The sequence below is a fragment of the Homo sapiens genome, chromosome 1 (genome assembly GCF_000001405.40).
Source record: "Homo sapiens chromosome 1, GRCh38.p14 Primary Assembly".
Classification (NCBI taxonomy): domain Eukaryota; kingdom Metazoa; phylum Chordata; class Mammalia; order Primates; family Hominidae; genus Homo; species Homo sapiens.
This window is the reverse complement of record NC_000001.11, coordinates 36,759,207-36,779,088: the sequence shown is the minus strand read 5'-3', so window position 1 is coordinate 36,779,088 and position 19,882 is coordinate 36,759,207. Positions and strand designations below refer to the sequence as shown.

At 49.4% G+C, this 19,882-nt stretch overlaps 1 long non-coding RNA gene across 1 annotated transcript, besides 3 other annotated features; it reads left to right on the top strand.

The window, feature by feature from the left end:
• Positions 8,205–8,804: an enhancer, noted in NCBI's record as "NANOG-H3K27ac hESC enhancer chr1:37235886-37236485 (GRCh37/hg19 assembly coordinates)". NCBI's record gives its function as "activates a minimal SCP1, AML or CMV promoter by ChIP-STARR-seq in primed H9 embryonic stem cells {active_cell/tissue: H9 hESC(primed)}" and the evidence as "EXISTENCE:reporter gene assay evidence [ECO:0000049][PMID:30033119]".
• On the top strand, positions 9,364–10,870 carry LOC124904023 (uncharacterized). The gene is made up of 2 exons (XR_007065840.1): positions 9,364–10,394; positions 10,478–10,870. It is a non-coding gene; the product is annotated as an uncharacterized LOC124904023 (long non-coding RNA).
• Positions 12,972–13,473: an enhancer, noted in NCBI's record as "H3K4me1 hESC enhancer chr1:37231217-37231718 (GRCh37/hg19 assembly coordinates)". NCBI's record gives its function as "activates a minimal SCP1, AML or CMV promoter by ChIP-STARR-seq in primed H9 embryonic stem cells {active_cell/tissue: H9 hESC(primed)}" and the evidence as "EXISTENCE:reporter gene assay evidence [ECO:0000049][PMID:30033119]".
• Positions 18,781–19,294: an enhancer, noted in NCBI's record as "H3K27ac-H3K4me1 hESC enhancer chr1:37225396-37225909 (GRCh37/hg19 assembly coordinates)". NCBI's record gives its function as "activates a minimal SCP1, AML or CMV promoter by ChIP-STARR-seq in naive H9 embryonic stem cells {active_cell/tissue: H9 hESC(naive)}" and the evidence as "EXISTENCE:reporter gene assay evidence [ECO:0000049][PMID:30033119]".

Sequence of the window (19,882 nt, the reverse complement as noted above, 5' to 3'; positions counted from 1 at the left end):
TCAGCTTCATGGGGCTAAAGTCAAGGTGCTGGCCTTCTGTATCTATTTCTGTCCCTCCTCTTGGCTATTCTTCCCTTCCCCCTTCCCTCCCCTCCCCTTCTCTTTCCCTCCCCTTCCCTTCTCCAGGATGACCTGGTGGTGTCCCTGGCGGTGTCCCTGGCGGATCCAGGCAGTGGCGGGGCTGAACTGTTTGGCTTTGAATCAGTCCAGCCCCTGGAGAACACTATTGTAAAAGGACATTTCCTGCCACCTGTTATTCATAAACTCAAGAAATATTTATTGAGCGCTGAACACTGAGCTGGGTGAAAAGGATCCAGCAGTGAGCTAGACAGAGGTGGTCCTGCCTTGGGAGACTTTGTGATCTGGCGGGACACTCCCAGACCTGTGCCAGTGGTTGCAGGTGCAGGCTCGTAAGAGTCCATCGTTAATTTTTCAAGAATGTGCAAGCCAGCTGTTAAACACAGCCAGACACAGCTATTATTAAAAATTAAATTATATTAACTTACAGTTAAATAAATTATATTGAAACAAAGGTAATGAATGCTCAAACTCATCATGTCTTAATTATTGTGCTATATTTTGCGCTCGTCGATGCTCCTGTACGTTATTTATGTCTACTGAATTTGTATGGTGGAAATACCACAATGGTGCACTGCTGTGTATCTCTTCCCAGCTCCACTCGGTGGCACCAACCTTGGTACTCTGAAATTGTTAGTATTTACATCATGGAGCCTAGCAAATGCTACACATCATGCTTTTTTAAAGAGAGATATATATATTTTATTTTATTTTATTTTATTTTATTTCTTTATTTTCAGATGGAGTCTCGCTCTGTCGCCCAGGCTGGAGTGCAATGGCATGATCTCGGCTCACTGCAACCTCTGCCTCCCGGGTTCAAACGACTCTCCTGCCTCAGCCTCCTGAGTAGCTGGGATTACAGGCGCCCACCACCACACCTGGCTAATTACTTGTATTTTTAGTAGAGACAGGGTTTCACCATGTTGGTCAGGCTGGTCTCAAACTCCTGGCCTCAGGTGATCCACCCACCTCAGCTTCCCAAAGTGCTGAGATTACAGGTGTGAGCCACTGTGCCCAGCCACATCATGCTTTTTTTTTTTTTTTTGAGAGCCAGTTACTAAACACATGTAGCACACTACTGTCTGTTCCCCACTGCATAGTCCAGCTCATCCTGAATCTTGATTGTCTTAGCTTTCAGCTGGAAGTTGTTTTGATGGGGTTGGAGTGGAAGGTGGGTCCTTGTCGGGGAACATTCAGAACCTCTTGTTCCTCCTCAGTGGCCTCTGGGTGAGTTACAGACATGCAGGCCCTCAGTTCTCCCTCTCCCAGGCAGGGGCCACTTCTCTGAGGTTCTGGCCTTACCTCCTCCAAATAAAATATAAGCCTGGCTGTTCCATCAGAAAACAGCTGTTCCCACAAAGCTTGCAGGGCTTAATTCCGATTATAGACACAGCTGGACTGCAGCCCACATGCCAACATGTAACTAACTTTCACTTTACTCACATTCTCGGAAAATTGATGATTTTCTGCCATTTTATTATACTTGATGATAATTTAAAAGGCAGGTTTAGTGCATCCATAAAACTGACTTTGCAACAAGCTTGTGATGTTAGAAAAATATATTTGGCAGGGCCTATTGTTTGGAGTTATAAAACAGAAGCCAGGAAGGGCTTTCCAAAGGGACTGTTCATACCAGCATCCTTTGCCTCCAGAACCCCAGCCCATCATTGTCCCACTTCTGGGAGGTAGTGAGTTGGCCTGGGTCTTTTTCCTGCACATGCCCACCTCAGTCAGACTGAGTAGGATGATCTCTGCCTCCATCCCTGACAATGCTCATTGACCATTGACACTGGGAATCATCACCCAAGTTCTGGGGCAGACATGCACCGAACACGCTGCTGGGGCCCTCCAAGGGCAATGCTGGCTTCCGAAAGGGAATTTATAGCCGGCTAATCAAAGCTTAATTACAGCAGCTCAGCGGGCTCCAGCAGGAACTCAGGCCGAAATGGTTTTGCTAGGAAACTTTTTATGAGCTTAAGCAGAAGCAGCAAATTAGCAGGAATGAGAGGAAAATCATCCTGTCTTAACCATGTCCCTGAGCTGGGAATCTGCAGCGTCACCTTGCAAAGTGCACCTCTGGGTGGCCCAAGAGGTGAAGATGGGGGTGTGGGAGCAGCCTGGGTGCAGTCCCCTGTAGTCCATGGGCTGGGGCTGCATGAATTATGCTCCCCAACCCCGCCCCCCAAACCCCTGCCTGCCCGCACTGCAGTGAGGACCAGGAGGCAGCCTCACATCTCTTCTCACCTCTCACCTCTTCTCCATCTCCACAGCCCCCCGCATGACTAAAGGACATCACACAACCTCGTGCAACCATGTGGTCTGGAGAGTCTCCTCATTCTTAGACATCTCCCTCATCTGAACTCTCAACTCCTCCTAAGTGCATCTGATCCATAAACTCTTCCACCTCTCCTCTTCCATATTTTAAAATCTCTTTCCTCTTCACCAATCTGCATTCTGCCACTCAACTAACTCCTTATCTCTTGTTCAGCCAAGGACCTGCCTTCCAATTCCCCTCCCACTCCCCCGCAAAAAAACAGCCTCCAAGAATTATCAGGAACGTCTCCAAATCCCACGTCTCTACACCTTTGCACCCACATTTTCCTGCATGCACATCCCACTTTCTTCCTCCCTCCCTTCTCTGAGGAAAAGCAACTTTGTAGCCATTAAGAGCCACACAAAACCTGGAATCTTGTCACTGCCACTAACTAAAATGTACTTTCTTAGGCAAATAATGTAGCCTCTCTGAGCCTCAGAGTCCTTATCTGTAAAATGGGAATAAGAAAATCAATAATATGAGGTGGCTGTAAGCCGTTCCATTAGCTAATCTATGTGCAGTTAAACACCACACCTGCACATTGTCACACTCAAGAAATGATAGATATCCTATATTTAATTGTAAAATGGACAGCAGAAATCCATAGAGTTTACAGCTACCCCCTAAAAAGAGAATCTGGTTTCTAGAAAGATGAATGACAGTTTCCAGATCCCTATGTCTATTATCAGTGGTCACACCCAAAAGGGACTGGCTCTGCAGCCAGACTGGGGAGAGGGTCCAAGGGAGAAATTGCATGAGGCCAGCATGGAAGAATAAACAGAAGCTGGGGCCTGGGGACAGCAGGGAGCCTAGGGCTGGCCAGGGCGGGAGCTTCCCGCAGAGACTGGAAGACAGAGCAGAACTCCCAGGGGTAGAGAGCAGGTGCAGGGGTGTACAGGGCTGATTTCAATTGTCAGTGAAAATAGGCTTCTGGAATTCATCATTTTATTCACAAATTAAGAAAGGACTAAAACATGCTTTTTGCTGTTCTAGCCCATGTAGATGCTTTCTTTCAACTTTATGAACTTCTCTAACAATGAATAAAACCACTCTGGCATGACAGGCACCTGTATTATTCTGTGTGGATTCCTTATTCCTAATGTCATCAATTACAATAATCAGATCACTGTAACACCGGTTTGGAGCAGGGCCGTTGCTGAGGGGCAGGCATGCAAGACCGCGGCTGTTCAGAACCACTCGCTCGTGTTTCTAAGGCACTGAAAGACAACTGGAAAATGTGATTGTCCTTAAGTTTTAAATTACCTGCAATCATTAAAATAATCTAGTTCATATTCATAAAGCTGTGATTATATTTTACATACCCAGTAAACACTTTATGAGAAAAACCCACAATTCTGCAGTGAAACAGAGAGGCTCAATCTGGTGGAGTCAAAATGCAAAGACGTGTTGGCGTGAAATCAGCCCAAAACACTGAGGTGGGGGTCGAACATTGACCATGGAACATGTTCCCTACCTCTGTGGTGGGCGGTGGGGTGAGTTTTTGAAAGGTTATTAGACAGATGAGGAACAGAAGAGACAAGGGGGAAGGGAAAATAGCCCAATTCCAGCACTTCCAGAGTTTTCCGAGGCCCATAGGTATCTCTTGGTTACCTCCATCCATCCATCCCACCGTACACCAGCGGTGAAAGGTCATGGTGCTCTAAGCTCAGCACCATCATGTGCACCCTGGGACCCCTGGAGGAAGAATGCTTCTTACTCTCATTTGGTAGATGGGGAAATTGAGTCTCAGAGAGGTTAAGTGATTTTCCTAAGATCGCACGTTAAGTGGGGAAGTCAGACACCACCCCCAGGTCTGTCTGACTCCAAAGTCCACACCCCACATTTGTTGAGGCATCTTGTCCAAGGACACACGGTAGTGAATGGCAGACTGGTGCCCTCCTGGCTGGGTAACATGTGGGCCTCACCACCCAGCCTCTTCCAGATCCAGGTACTTCCTATTGTGCCATTTAGTTACTTTTTACTGTGACATGATCTGGTCACCCTCAGCATTCAGTGGAGCCCCCCAGGTGAAGCACTGAGGGCAACGCCCACTGGACACTGCGTCTGAAGTGAAGCATTTTGCAAAAACCCTGACTTAAAAAATATATATCATCCATTTCCTTTTTTAGCAAGATACATTTTTGACACCAATGAGGCTTAAGAAAGCCCAATATAACATCCCTCACTTCCCACCAGAATCAGACAAATGGAGATCAAAACTCCAGCTTCGGTGCACAGGAGAACACAGAACCTCCTCCCTGGAACTGCAGATCTGCCTCGCCCGGGCAGAGCCCGCTCCGCTAGTGGAAAAAAGATGCAGGGAATTTTCTGCAGGCAGGCAGAACCCAGAGAGAGGCAGGGCAGGAGCTAAGCATGTTCAGTGCCTTCACCCAAACCCACTAATCAGAGGAGTTCCTCCTCTTCCCAAGGGGAGGTGGGGGTGAGCGAGTGAAGAGCTAGGTCTGGAGGATGTTTCAGTGGAAATGCTTCTCCCTGCGAACCGGAGCGGTGGTAAATGATCACTCCTCCTGCCCCACAAACAATAAAGACTCTTTAGATAAAGAGAGAAAATCATTTCTAATCACTTGGCTCTTCACTCTTCCCTTTTTTGAGTTCCTTTGGCTGCCCTGCACATTTCGTATGATTGCATCAGTCATTGGGCACTGACGCCATTCAGTGCCAGCTGTGGCGGGGGCCTCCCAGGGCTGCTCAGTAACCATCATGGCCATATCCACCGGGTAGGAGAGGTTCCATGGAGCAGGATCCCATCATTGAAGCACCCTCCACTCCTTACTGATGGTTCTGAGGGCTGCTTCCAGATGGGTCATCACAAATAATTCTACAGCCATCATGGTGGATATATAGCTTTTAGCTTGGCCTCAGCCATTCTTCCCCAGGTGTGCTGTCTACCCAGACTCCCACTAAGTCCTAGGATGACTGTGGTTGGGAAATATACAAAGAACCCAAGGAAAGCCCATCCCCTGAAAGTTATAGAGACAGAGGTGACTTTTTCAGGTGTGCACTCTGAGGACCTTAGCAAATAGTAGGCATTCGTGGGAAAGGGCCAGCATAAAATGGCCAGCACTTTAAGTAGCTTCTGTTTGCCCCACTGTGGTTCCAGAGCCACTCAGGGAAACTTCTCACTCATTAGGCATCACCCCACATACCTGGAGCCTGCTGTGAGATCCAGCGACCCCGGAGTTGGCATCCCACAGCCCCAGAAGGTGGACAGGGCAAGTGATACCTGGTGTTATGGTTTGAATGATGGTGTCCCCCCAGAATTCATGTGTTGAAACGTAATCACCAGTGTGATAGTGTTAAGAGGTGGGGCCTTTAGAAAGATGATTAAGTACTGAGGGCAGAGCCCTCGTTAAGCTCCTTACAGAAGAGGTGTCACCCAGCCTCTCTCGCCCTTCCGCCTTCCACAATGTGGACATGAGAGCACAGTGCCATCTCCAGAGCAGAGAGCAGCCCTCCCTGTTCAACAAGGCCGGCACCTCAGCTTCTCACTCTGGGACCCACGCAGACAGAGCACAGCCACCATCTGGATCGTTGCTGGTCCCTGTGGCAGAGGGAAGGAAAGCATGGTGAATTGCTCCCTGGCTCTTAAAGATTCACCTACTATGTCCACTCCTACTTCCCTGGCCAAAGCAAGTCATGTGATCACCCCCACCTTCTGGGACTGAGCAAGTTCAAGCCTACTCTGTGCCCAAGAGAACTGGAAAGATCTGGTGGGTAACACTGCCAGGCCACCCATCCAGCCCCACTTACCCACCCTGCACCTGGCCCTGTATTGGTACTGGGCAGAGACATGAAGCCCAGATTGCCTTCTGGAACTGTGCTGTCCAATGTGGTAGCCAGCTGTGCCTGCTGAGTGCTTGAAATGCGGCTAGTGCAAATTTAAATGTGCTCTAAACATAAAAGCACACACCCAATTTCAAAGGTTTGGCATAACAAAAAGAATGTGAAATATCTCATTTATGTCTTTTCATTTTGATTACATATTGAGATGTCATTTGGGATCTATTGGGTTAAGTAAAAGATGTTACTAAACTTAACTATACCTGTTCCTTTTTTTTTTTTTTTTTTTTTTGAGATGGAGTTTCGCTCTTGTCACCTAGGCTGGAGTGCAATGGCATGATCTCGGCTCACTGCAACCTCCGCTACCTGGGTTCAAGCAATTCTCCTGCCTCAGCCACCCGAGCAGCTGGGATGGCAGGCGCCGGCCACCACGCCCAGCTAATCTTTGTATTTTTAGTAAAGACGGGGTTTCACCATGTTGGCCAGACTGGTCTCAAACTCTTGACCTCAGGTGATCCACCCACCTCAGCCTCCCAAAGTGCTGGGATTACAGGCGTGAGCCATCGTGCCTGGCCCATTCCTTTTTTTGATGTGGCTACTAGAAAATTTTAAAATTGCATTTGGGGCTGACATTAGATTTCTATTAGACAGCGCTGCTCCAACGCCTCTCATCCCGGCCAGTAGTGAGACACTGCTTGCAAAGGAAAGCAAGTGGATCCAGCTGTGAGTCCAGCAGTCACTGGGGGTGGGGGTGAGGTCCTCTCAGACTCAGCATCTGCCCAGCCACGACTTTGACTCCTTGACAAAAACCTCATGAGCCCTCCCTGAAGATGGAGCCACTGCCTCCACCCTGGGCTGGGACCTCATTTTCTGCGCTCCCTGGGGGCCCCCTTGCTGTGTGACACAGGCAAGCTGTGGGGTATGGCAAGGAGCATCTCTGCCACAGTCTGATGCCCAAGGAGCTGCAGCCAAGAAGGCGCAATCACCTGCGGAGAAGTGTTAATAAATATTTACCGAGCCCTTTGACAGTGCCAAGCGAGAGTACAAATCAGTCCCAGCAGGCGCCGAAACGAGTCTCCTGAGGGCTGGCAGCCAGAGGCGCCACCACACAGGGCCGGAAGCCCACTGACCTCCGGCTGCTTGTACCTACCCTGAGTGGCCCAGGCAGCCCTGTTTACAGAAGCCATGAAAGAGGACAATCTCTCACTATTGATTTTGTGCCTCTCCCCACGACCGCCGCCCTGGATAACTCACAACGTATGGATTTTTCTATAAACTCCAAATTAATATCTGCAGCAGGTGGGAATATACTGCTGCCCGATGTAGTGAAGCCTCCTGGCCCCACTGGGCTGAGGATTGGAGGACACGCAGCCTGTGACTGTCCCTCCCATGCCTGGGTCCACAGGCTGACCTCTGCTTTTAGCAGTCAGCAGGCTGGGGGCGTGGAGGCTGGCCTGCTGGGCTACGCATCCACCCCCCACCCCCCAGCTGGGATTCTTGTGTTCTCTGTGTTTGAATGAGGCTGTGCATACAGGAGTTGTGAATGCAGGTCACCCCAGGACCCTCCATTCATTAAGGAGAGACTCCCTGCGATGGCAAGGAAAGAGCGGGAACTTTGCATTTACTGAACTTCAGTTTACTCCCAGCTCCACCCCCAGCCTGTAGTGTGGCTTCAGAGATTTACTTCATAACCTCTCTGTGCCTCTGTTTCCCTATCAGTAAAATGGGGGTAATATCATATTAACATGACAAGGTTGATGTCAGGATCATTTACTTGTACAGCAAATGCAAAACAAGATCATTTCACTTGGATAAGAGCTACCAAAGAAATAAGCAAGGTGACTTTGGTAGGCCCCTTGAGGTAGGGTAGTCAGAGAGGGTGTCCCTAAAGAGGTGACATTTGGGCATAGAGCTAGAGGGTGGGAAGGCACCAGCCACACCAAGAGCTGGGGAGAGGGAACAGCAAGTGCAAAAGCCCAGAGGAGGGTAAACATAAAGGAAATTTGATTACGGAAATGTACTCAGCATTTTCCCCTGCAGGGAGCAGAAGCCCAGGGGTGTGAAGTTCCCACTTTTGCTCTGAGGGGAGGGACCCCTGCTAGGGCAGCAGGTAGGAGTGGGGGGCGACAGAAGAGAAGGGAGAGTCCATTCTTACAGATCTCCAGCCCCCATCTTCTGGGTCCAGTCACAGACCTGCTGGGAGCCCTGTCTCCTGAGCAGGGAGACAGAGAAGCAAGGCACTGCCCTGGGGGGTGGAGAGAGAGAGCTCAAGCCAAGTAAACGTTTGCTGCAAATACTTCTAATCCTATTGTCTTTAATAAAACTGCTAATTGGGTTTGGAAGTCTCCTCAGGGCCTGGCTGAGCCAGTTGGTTGCTTAGCTCCTTCCCAATCCTTCCCCATCCAAGATACCTCCTCTGCTTCCATGAATTAATTCAACCTGACATTTCAGGGTATACAGAGGGAGGAGACTGTGTTATGCGTATCTAACTATCATTCATTCACTCACATTTATATTTAGTGAGCATCTACTATGAACTAGACGTTGCCCAGGTTGCTGGGGATACAGCAGCAAACCAAAGAGACAAAACTCCCTGCCCTTGGGAACTTCCATGCTAGAGGGAGGAGCTAGGCGAAGAGTATGTAAATGGGGTGGTAAGTGCCTAGGGGGAAAACAACCAGGGCAGCAGGATGGGAAATAGAGAGGAGGGTTGTAATTTTAGATCAGGTGGCTGGGAAAGGCTTTGTAGAATTGGGGACATGTGGTGAAGAGCGGCATCCGCCGAAGGAGCCAAATGTGTGGACATCTGGAGAAGGGCCTTCCAGGTAGAGGGGACGGCCAATGCAAAGGCCCTGATGTAAGAGTGAGCATGGCATGTTTGGGGAACAGCAAAGAGGCCACTGTGGCTGCAGCAGAGTGAGTCAAGGGAGAGGACTGAAAATGAAGCCAGAGAGGTGATGGATCTCACAAAAACCCCTCTACCATACCACAAGGTACGTACCATCAGCCCCCTTTAACAGATGAGGCATGAGAGGGTTGGGGAAAAGAAGTGCTTAGCCCACGCTCAGGTTGCAGTATGCCTCAGGGTCCGTGTTTAAGCACTTAATGAGCACATACTCTCTATGACATCACTGGATGTCATCAACAGGGAGGGACAAGAGCACGGATGCCTCCCTCACCATCCAGTAGCACCAAATATCAGCCAGGTGATATTGTTCTAGTATCATCCCGCTTCATAGAGGCAGAAAAGGGTGAAGTCAGTTGTCTGAGGCTACGCTGCTAGAGAGCTGGGCTTCAAACACAGGTCTGACTCCAGTGCCCACACTCACACCAGGCTGCCACACTGGTCGATCCCTGCATTTGGACAAGAGAGGCACTCAGCCTAGGAAGAGGGGGCTAGTAGGAGCAGAGCAAGGCACAGATCCCAGCCTCCTGGGATGTGGCCTGAGATTCCATCCATCCATCCATCCATATTTCTGTTCATCCGTTTATGTATTCACCAATCCATTCATCCATCTATACTTTTGTCCATCCATCTATCCATCCATTCATCTATATTTTTGTCCATCCATCTATCCATCCATTCATCTATATTTTTGTCCATCCGTTCATTCATCCAGCCAGTCAGCCTCCTATCCACCCACATGTTTGTCTGGCTGTTTACTGGGAACCTGTTCATGGACCACAAGCAAAAGTCTTCCCTGCAGCTCATGGGGCTGGCAATGGGGCTGACCCTTTGACTCACCTCCCTGCCACACTCCACACTCCAGAGCCCACCAGGTAGCCTCACCCACCAGTTGCCCGTCGGAACGACACATCCTGGGACTTCTTGTCATTTCCTGTCCAAGATTCCATTATAAGGTGTGATTGCTGAAGTAATAGACAGATAACGGATCAGTCCGAGCCCCGCCTGGCACACCGGGCAGCTGCCAGGTTTTTCCCATTAGCCACAGGGCTTGACGGACAGTAATGGATTTCATACTGATGCTGGAGCCTGTGGCGGATAATTCCGTGATAACAGTTTATCACCCACTGACGGGAGGTAATGGGTAATCACCAGGAAGAAAGCAAACCCATCAGGGAGCCCTGGCCTCCACCCAGCCTGGCCCTAGCTTTGTTGTGCCAACTGCCACTTTCCAACTCGAGGACCAACTCCCGCCTGTGCCCTGAAGGATGGCAGAGCTGCCGGTCCACTGTGCATGTATGTGTCCAGGCCAAGCCTGGCTGGGGTGCCCAAGGACTGTTTGCAAAGACTCTCACAAGAGATTATTTTTTCTCTTTCAGCAAGCCCCAGACACCTTCCTTCCCACTGAGACTTGCAGCAAACTTGGGAGAAGACAAAGTGGGGTTTCAAGGACAAAGCAACCCAATACATCCTCTAGTCCAGTCCTCCTATGCACAGCCCCAGGCTCCAGGCCAGGATATCAGAGGAAGACTTTGGCCACAGTGTATGTGCCCCGGCCATGTTCTCTGCATCCTAGAAACCACTTATTGGAGCCAGGGTGGTGATGACCCCTTGCCACCACCTTCCATCACCTTGCAGGGGTCCCCTGCCCCCTCTTCACCTTTATAAACACTTGAGTATGCCATCTGTCCCTCACCAGGCTTCCCCCAATAGACACTGTCTCTTCCAAATCTGCAGGAAAAAATAAAATGAGTGGATACAATTTTCTCCCATTTCAGGATTTTCCCCTTTTTAATTTTGTTTTAAACATCCAGGTCCTCCTTGTCTCTCACTACTCAGAGAGAATAAAACAAATGAATAAGCACCAAATGATGATTAGTGAGAATCTTACTTGCTCAGTTCTGCCTGGATTTTCCTTGAACTTGTGTGTCCTTGGGCACGACTGCGATTTCCCAGTTTTTTAGAGGGTGTACATCTCATTAAATTGAACATTTCTAAGTCACTTCAACTAAAAATTCCTGAATTATAACCCCAGTTTCCTTTGCAGAATTTGTATCATTGGAATCTTAGCAGTTTCTGTGGGTTCCCAAGACGCTCCCCACAAAGAACCAGGTCTGGGATCTCAGATCTGGGCATGGGGGGCGGAAGCGCTGTAGTCACTAGCTGTAGACAAAAGGCTCCCTTCTAAAGACCAAAAGAGGGTCCAGGAAGAGCTGCCTATGTTCAGGGGATGTAAGGAGCCTGGGCCCAGGGGATGGGTGCTCACAGGCAGGTACGGCTGCAGTGGCCTTGAAGGGTGGATAGAAAGGAGGCCTCTTCACTATTCACAATAGCAAAGACTTGGAACCAAGCCAAATGTCCAACAATGATAGACTGGATTAAGAAAATGTGGCACATATACACCACGGAATACTATGCAGCCATAAAAAATGATGAGTTCATGTCCTTTGTAGGGACATGGATGAAATTGGAAATCATCATTCTCAGTAAACTATCGCAAGGACAAAAAACCAAACACCGCATGTTCTCACTCATAGATGGGAATTGAACAATGAGAACACATGGACACAGGAAGGGGAACATCACACTCTGGGGACTGTTGTGGGGTGGGGGGAGTGGGGAGGGATAGCATTAGGAGATATACCTAATGCTAAATGACAAGTTAATGGGTGCAGCACACCAGCATGGCACATGTATACATATGTAACTAACCTGCACATTGTGCACATGTACCCTAAAACTTAAAGTGTAATAATAATAAAAGAAAAGAAAAAAAAGAAAAAAAAAAGAAGAAAAGTGGGATATTGAAATTTACAACTATTACTGCTGAATCTAATTCTTCCTCAATTCTATTAATGATTCATGTATTTTGGGCCTCTGTTATTAGGGACATACATGTTTGTAATTGTTATGTTTTCCCGATGGAATGGTCATTTTATGATTATAAAATGTTCTGTTTATCTCTAGTAAAAAAAAAAAAAAGAAAGAAAGAAAGGAGGCCTCTTTGTTGAGGGCACCACCAGGCCTTATTAAACATGGATTGTGTGCCAAGCACCTTTCCAAGTCCTCTACAAACAGTGCCTGATTTAATCCCGACACCATTCCAGGAAGGGAGTTATAATGATCAATATCACCCCTTTTTCACAAATGAGGAAACTGAGGCACGGTGATGTTAGCTAACTGCCCTCAGACATACAGCTAATCAGCAGAGGAGCCAGGACTCAAAGCCAGGCAGTCTGGGTCCAGAGCCTGTGTCCTAACCATGACACTGTGCTGCTTCTCCCAACCATCCATGGCCGCTTGAGGCCCATCCGGGCCATTCACAGCCCTGACCAGACTGTGGGCCTGGCTTCCTCTCACAGTAGAGTTTTTCAGGGAGTGCTGGCTGGAGCTGCCTTGTTCAGCTTCCAACGGCTGACTGTGCACTTCCTCACCCAATTCTGTGTTAAGTGATGTCAGGTAAGTAGCTTCAAATCAGCCATGGTGAGCAGGCATGTTTACTTAGATGAGCAAATGCCACAAAGCAGGGCTTTTCCCCCTCTGGAGAGCTGGCTGTTACCTGTTTGCCAGCACAGCACCAGTTCCTGGGGCTGGGGAAATGACAGATTCTGTGCAGGTCAGTGAACACACAAAGGAAGGAGTGGGTAAATCTGTTGGCCCCAAGCTCAGTCAGGACTGTCTTTATTCATCACGGAGGTAACACTTGAGCCAAAACTTCATTCAGTTATACACTCATTCACTCACTCACTCACTCATTCAACACATTTCTTTAGCACCAAGGTGGGCACTGAAAAGACAGAGACAGATGCAAGGGGAGCCTCGGACGTGGGAACAGGCAGCCATGCTGCCTGCTCCGTGGGCTGTGGTGGGTGAGGACAGGGAGGTGCTCCCCCTGCCAGGTGCCCAGGAAGGCAAGGTGTCTAGGGCAGCATTCCAGGCAGAGAGGGGTTTGATCTCCACACTGCAGACAATGCAGTCTCTTCCCATGTAAATCTGACCATGCAGCCCTGCCTGGAGCCTGAAAGGGCTTCCCATTGTTCTTGGGTTCAAAGACTGAGATGGACTGGATGCTAAGGAAGCCCAGCCTCCTGCCCCTGCTTTCTCTTTGCCTCACCCCGTTTCCCATTCCCAAACACACAAGCCTTCTACTGGGTGTGCAGGGGCACCAGCCTTCCTCACCTCAGGGCAAGTGCCCAGTGTTCAATCTGCTTGGAATGTCATGTGTGCACACATGCACATGTACACATACACAAGTGCGTGCACACATACACTCTCTCTCAGCTCATTCTCCCTCACCTGGCTGACTCCCTATCACCCTTCAAATCTCAGCTCAAATGCCATTTCCTCTGGAGTCTCCTCTAACCCTTCTATGTCCCCCGCTACTGCCAGCCACACTGAGCCCCAACATTCTCCCAACACTGTGCAGTTCTCTACCAACACATTTCAGAGTCTGGGACTGAACTTCCTTTTGTGTGATTATTTGGCCAATATCTGTCACCCATTCCTAAATCAAAAGCTCCAGAGGTCAGAGACTTTGTCTCCTTTGTGCCTAGAAGAGTGCCCAGCCAATAGTAGGTGCTCCATAATTATTAGACAGATGAATGAATGAATGCAGTGGCACACACAGGCACAGGTAAAAGCTTGAGGTGTGTGAAGGAACTTCAGGTGGCTCCCTGCAGCTGGAGCCTAGTGCACAGTGAGGAGAAGCAGAGGGGAGGCTGTGGAAGGAGGGGCTCAGGTCCATCCTTCCTGGGGGACAGGCAGAGTGAATCCTCACACCCCCTCCTGTTCTTTAACTCTTGAGGGCCCAGCACAGTGGGGAGGAGCACTAGGACAGACAGACAGACAAGGGCTAGCCCAACTGCCTTGGGGAGGCCAGTAACTGAGCTGGAAGAAGGCCACCACCCCCTCCCCCAACCCATCCCCACCCCTGCCGGGCTGAGCACCAAGACTAATTAAACTGGATTTGCTCAGCCAGGCCCTGGAGGGGACAGCTCCGAGCATTCCAGATGGGCTCTATTTGTCAATTTGAAAACTAATCTCTGACTATTTAAACAGAAGCTTATCTGGGTCCAGACCAGGATTAGCATTTGGCACCTTGGCTGAAGAGGGTGGGTGGCACTCCCCAGGTGTTAGGAAAGGATTTGAGGGTGAATTTCTTTCTAGAAAGAAGAAGAGCTCAGAGCTTCTGCTCCCAGCCCACCAGCCCTGAAGGCAACCCCTGGGACTGACCAGTAACTTGCTCAGCAGGGGCCTCTCCCCCAGCCTTCCTTATGTCTGGGGTACACCCCTGTCCTGAAGCCACCAGAAGCTGGAAAAAGCAAGAAAAGATTCTTCCCTGGACCTTCTGGAAAGGACACAGCCCTGCAGACACCTTAATGTTGGAGCTGTGCCTTCTGGAACTATGAGAGAATAGATTGCTTTTTCTTAAGCTAGCAGTTTGGAGTAATTTGTGACGCCAGCTCTAGGAAATGAACTCAAGCCCTCTACTAGTCCTGACCTCAGAACCAGCTAGGGGACAACCAGATAAGAGTGACGTCCCAGAAGCAAGCAGAGATGTCTGGGGCTCAGGCCTTGGGCTTCTCTCTCCACCCTCTCTCCCTAGGTGAGCTCATCAAGGACAAAGCAGTGCTAGATGCCTTCTGTAAAATGAGGATGCATGAATGTGGGTCTCCAGCCATAACCCTGTCTCCCAACATGAAATTCACACATACAACTTCCTGCTAGGCATTCCATTGGCCTGAGAGGCAACCCAAATTTTATACAACCTAAATGAAACTCAGGCTTCCCTTGAGACCCATCTCCTCTCCCGCCTCGGCATCTCACTAAGCGGCACCCAGAAGCTCAGGCCAAAGTCATTGCCTGCTTTCTCTCATGCCCCATATCCAGGCAAATCCCACTGGTGTGACCTTGAAACTATATCCAAAAACCAACCCCTTCCCCACTGTGACTGCTCCTGTCCCAGCCCCAGCAACCGTCATCTGCCTGGACGGCTGGCATGGCTTCCGGCTTCCACACACCTCCACCCGCTGTCCACCACCCACGGCAGCCAGAGGGAGCCTGCTAAAGCGTGACTCAGACTGCGCCACCCCCTTCTTAAAAAGTCTTCAGTGCTGCAATGAACATACGCATGCACGTATCCTTATAATAGAATGGTTTCTATTCCTTTGGGTATATACCCAGTAATGGGATTGCTGGGTCAAATGGTATTTCTGCCTCTGGGTCTTTGAGGAATCGCCACACTGTCTTCCACAATGGTTGAACGAATTTACACTCTTACCCAATGTAATAGCGTTCTTATTCTCTGCAGCCTTTCTCTGCCAGCACCTGTTGTTTCTTGACTTTTTAATAATCTCCATTCTGACTGGCGTGAGATGGTATCTCATTGTGGGTGTGATTTGCATTTCTCTAATGATCAGTGATGTTGAGTTTTTTTCATATGTTTGTTGGTCACATGTACGTCTTCTTTTGAGAAGTGTCTGTTCATGTCCTTCGCGCACTTTTTAATGGGGTTGTTTGTTGTCTTGTAGATTTGCTCAAGGTCCTTGTAGACTCACAATAGCAACGACATGGAATCAACCCAAATGCCCATCGATGATAGATTGTATAAAGAAAATGTAGTATGTATACACCAAGGAATACTATGCAGTCATTAAAAGGATCAAGATCATATCCTTTGAACGGAAAGGCGTTATCCTCAGCAAACTAACATAGGAACAGAAAACCAAACAGCGCATGTTCTCACTTATAAGTGGGAGCTGCGTGATGAGGCCACATGGACACATGGCAGGGAACAACACATACTGGGGCCTGTTGCGTGGCAGGGAGAGAGAGCATCAGGAAGAATAGCTAATGGATGGTGGGCTTTAATACCTAGGTGACGGGATGATCTGTGCAGCAAACCACCACATGTTCAGCTATGTAACAAACCTGCACATCCTGCACATGCATCCCTGAACTTAAAATAAAAGTTGAAGAAAAAAAAAAAAAGCCCTCAGTGGCTTCTCAAAATCCTGTATAGTTCCCTGTCCTCATGGGACCTGAAAAGCCAGGGCTCCTGACCTGTAGCTCTGCCTGCACCCGGGCCCTCCGCTCCTCCCCTCACTCACGGCTCCCACCCAGCCTGGTGGCCCACCCCATCCCCTCCCCTGTTCCCTCTGCCTAGAATGCCACACCCCTCTCCCAGAGTGTTCCTTCCACTCATTCAAGTTCTTTCTCAGATGTAGACTCCTCAGAGAGCCATTTTCCAACCATGCAATTGGAAACTCTTTATCCCTTTCCCCAGCATCAATTCCCCCACCTCTCTGTTTCGGTTTCCTGTGTGTCTGTTTCTGTCTATGTCTGCGTGTGTCTGGTCTGTGTCTGTGTGTATTTGTGTTTGGGTGTCTATATCTGTGAGTGTGTGTGTGTATGTGTGTGTATGAGTCTCTGTGTTTCTCTGTGTCTGTGTAGGAGTGTGGGTGTGTGTGTGTTTGCGTGTCTCTGTCTGTGTGTCTGTGTTTGGGTGTCTATATCTGTCTGTGTGTGTATGAGTGTCTACGTTTGTCTGTATCTGTGTGTCTGGGAGTGTGTGTGTGTGTGTGTCTGGGTGTCCACGTCTGTGTGTGTGTATGAGTGTTTGTGTTTGTGTCTGTGTGTCTGGGAGTGTCTGTGTATGTGTGTGTGTGTCTGTGTTTGGGTGTCTGTGTGTGTGTGTATAAGTGTGTTTGGGTGGCTCTGTCTGTGTGTTGTGTATAAGTGCCTGTGTTTGTGTGTCTGGAAGTGTCTGTGTATGTGTGTGTGTGTCTGTATCTGTGTGTCTGTGTGTGATTGTGTTTGGGTGTCTATGTCTGTGTATGTGCATCTATGTGTGTCTATATGAGTGTGTGTCTGGGAGTGTCTGTGTGTGTGTCTGCATATGTGTGTGTTCTACCCACCTGCCTCCACCGCCCAGGGATAATATAACTTCAAATTGGTCTTAATCACCGCTGGTCTCTAGAAAAGTATGTGGCACATATTAGGAGCTCAATAAATATTTGTTGAATGATTCAAGGCAGATAAGAAAGGATGTCCCTAGGCTGGGCGCGGTGGCTCACGCCTGTAATCCCAGCACTTTGGGAGGCCGAGGTGGGCAAATCACGAGGTCGGGAGTTCGAGACCAGCCTGGCCAATATAGTGAAACCACATCTGTAATAATAACACAAAAAATTAGCCAGGCATGGTGGCAGGCGCCTGTAATCCTAGCTACTTGAGAGGCTGAGGCAGGAGAATTGCTTGAACCTGGGAGGCAGAGGTTGCAGTGAGCTGAGATCGTGCCGTTGCACTCCAGCCTGGGTGACAGTGTGAGACTCCGTCTCAAAAAGAAAAACTGAGAAGTGACATTTAAGCTGTGGCCTGGAAGATGAGGAGAGGATGGCAAGGCAGAGTGTGAGGGTGGAAGGAGTTTTCACGCAGGTGGAACAGCATGTGCAAAGGCCCTGGTGCCAAAGCTGCCAGGCACAGTTCAGAAAAGAGCAGGCCAGGGTGGCTGGAATCCAGTGAGCTGAGCAGGACAACATGGTGTCACCCCACTTAGCTAGGCCTCAGTCTTGCAGCCCTTCAGCCTCCTGTGCTGGCCAGAGGTGGTCCTGAGGCTGCCCCATCTGCCCTCATTCATGAGTCCCTACTGACCCTTGGGCCTGCAGCCTCTGTTTACTACTAAGACCAGGGGCTCAGGGTTTGCCTGGTGGGTCTCAGCCACTCCTTAACCTGGGTCAGGTCCAACTACCATGGCTTCCTGTGAGTCAGGTCTGGTCCTTCCTGTCCCTCCTCTGTGTGTAAACAGAGCCTCACACACTGTCCCACCATGCAGGGTGAGGTCAGCTGCCTCAGTAGAAAGCCCAGGTCCTCTCTGCTGAAGCATCTCCAGTGGCAGTCACTCCCTCTACATGTGACTTTGCCTCTCTGGGCCTCAGTTTCCCCATCTAAACAGTGATGAGTTGGGGCCTTCCAGCCAAGACAGCCAAGTTCTAAGCATTTTCCCCAGAGTAGAAAGGTATTATCATTACCAAGGCCTGAATACCCAGCCCGAGTTTCAGGACCCTCACCAACACTGGTGCTTTTCTGTTACAAATTAGAGAAACCCCAACCCAAACTGGCTGAAACATATAGACTATACATTGCTTCATGTGACTGGAAAGTTGGGTATACCTAATCACATATGGCTTGATCCAGTCTCAAACAACTGTCCAGATTTTCTCTCTCTCTCTCTCTCTTCCCCCTCCCTCTCCCTCTCCCTCTCCCTCTCTCCCTTTCTCTCTCTCCTCTTCCCTCTCTCTCTTCCCTTTCTCTCCCTCTATCTCTCTTCATTTCCACTTTCTCACTCCCCTCCCAGGCCTCTTATGGTTTCAACATAGCTACAGCACTTCAACCTCCATGTCTTCCCAGATAAACAAAAGTGTGGCCAGAGAAGAAGGCTAGGAAGAAAAGCAGGAAATGCTGAGGGGTGAGGCTGCAGAGCAGGCAACATCAGCTCCCGCAGGACTTCAGCCTGAGTGCAATAGGAAGCCATGGGAAGTTTTCAGCAGGGGCAAGATGGCCCGACCACATTGGAGTCTCCCAGGCTGGCAAGACTGTGCTGCCTTAGAGCCCCCATCAGCACTGACCCAGGTGGACCCTAACTGCTGCCCACCTCCATTGCCAGCCTTCACTTGTGGGTTTCTCCTCTGAGCCACTGTGCTGCCCTGTGGGTCGGCCTCATCCCCTGCCAGGACCCCCATGCCAGTCCAGGGCAGAGCTGCCAGGCAGGCTGGAGGCTTGTAGCACAGGCAAGGAAGGTGAGCAAAGAAGGGGAGAGAAGGAGGCTGCTAGGGAGAGGGGCACAGAGGGCCAGACAGTTCGACCCTGCTGGCCAAGCTCAGGGCTCTGAAGGCTGAGGAGCAGAGGAATGACTAGCCCCTGGGTTTTCTGAAGTGAAGAGGAATCACAGGGAAAAGAGAAAGCTTCTAAGGGAAGGTGGACATGCATGTGGGGAGTGGGTTAAACACCAGGGCTTGGGAAGCAGACAGACTTGGTCTCTGTGGTAGATTTAAGACGGCAATAAATTATTTGACAAGCCTCTCACTGGGAGGTGAAGTCTGTTCCTCCTCCTTGCATTAGCATGAGCACTGTCATAACTTTGAGCCACAGAACATGTTGGAAGTGATGCTGTGCCAGTTTCCAGACTCAGGCCTTAAGGGACTAGTAGCTTTCACTTCCTCCCTCTAAGAACAGTCACTCTTAGATCCTGAGTGTCCACATAAGACATCCAATGACTCCGCTTGGAGAGACCACATGGGGATGCCCTGAGACTATAAGGAGAGGGAGAGAGAGACATAGCTGGGCTCACCAAGACACCAGCCACATGAGAAAAGTTGTCTTGGACCCTCCAGACCAGTCCAGCAATCAGCTGAGTACCACCGGTGACTTCAGTCAATGTGGCATGGAGCAGAAGAACCACTCAGCTGAGCCCTGCCTGAATTCCTCACCCACAGCATAGTGAGATATAATAAAATGGCCCTTGTTTTTTTTTTTAATTATACTTTAAGTCTTAGGGTACATGTACACAACGTGCAGGTTTGTTACATATGTATACATGTGCCATGTTGATGTGCTGCACCAATTAACTCGTCGTTTAGCATTAGGTATATCTCCTAATGCTATCCCTCCCCCTTCCCCCCACCCCACAACAGGCCCCAGTGTGTGATGTTCCCCTTCCCGTGTCCATGTGTTCTCATTGTTCAATTCCCACCTATGAGTGAGAATATGCAGTGTTTGGTTTTTTGTCC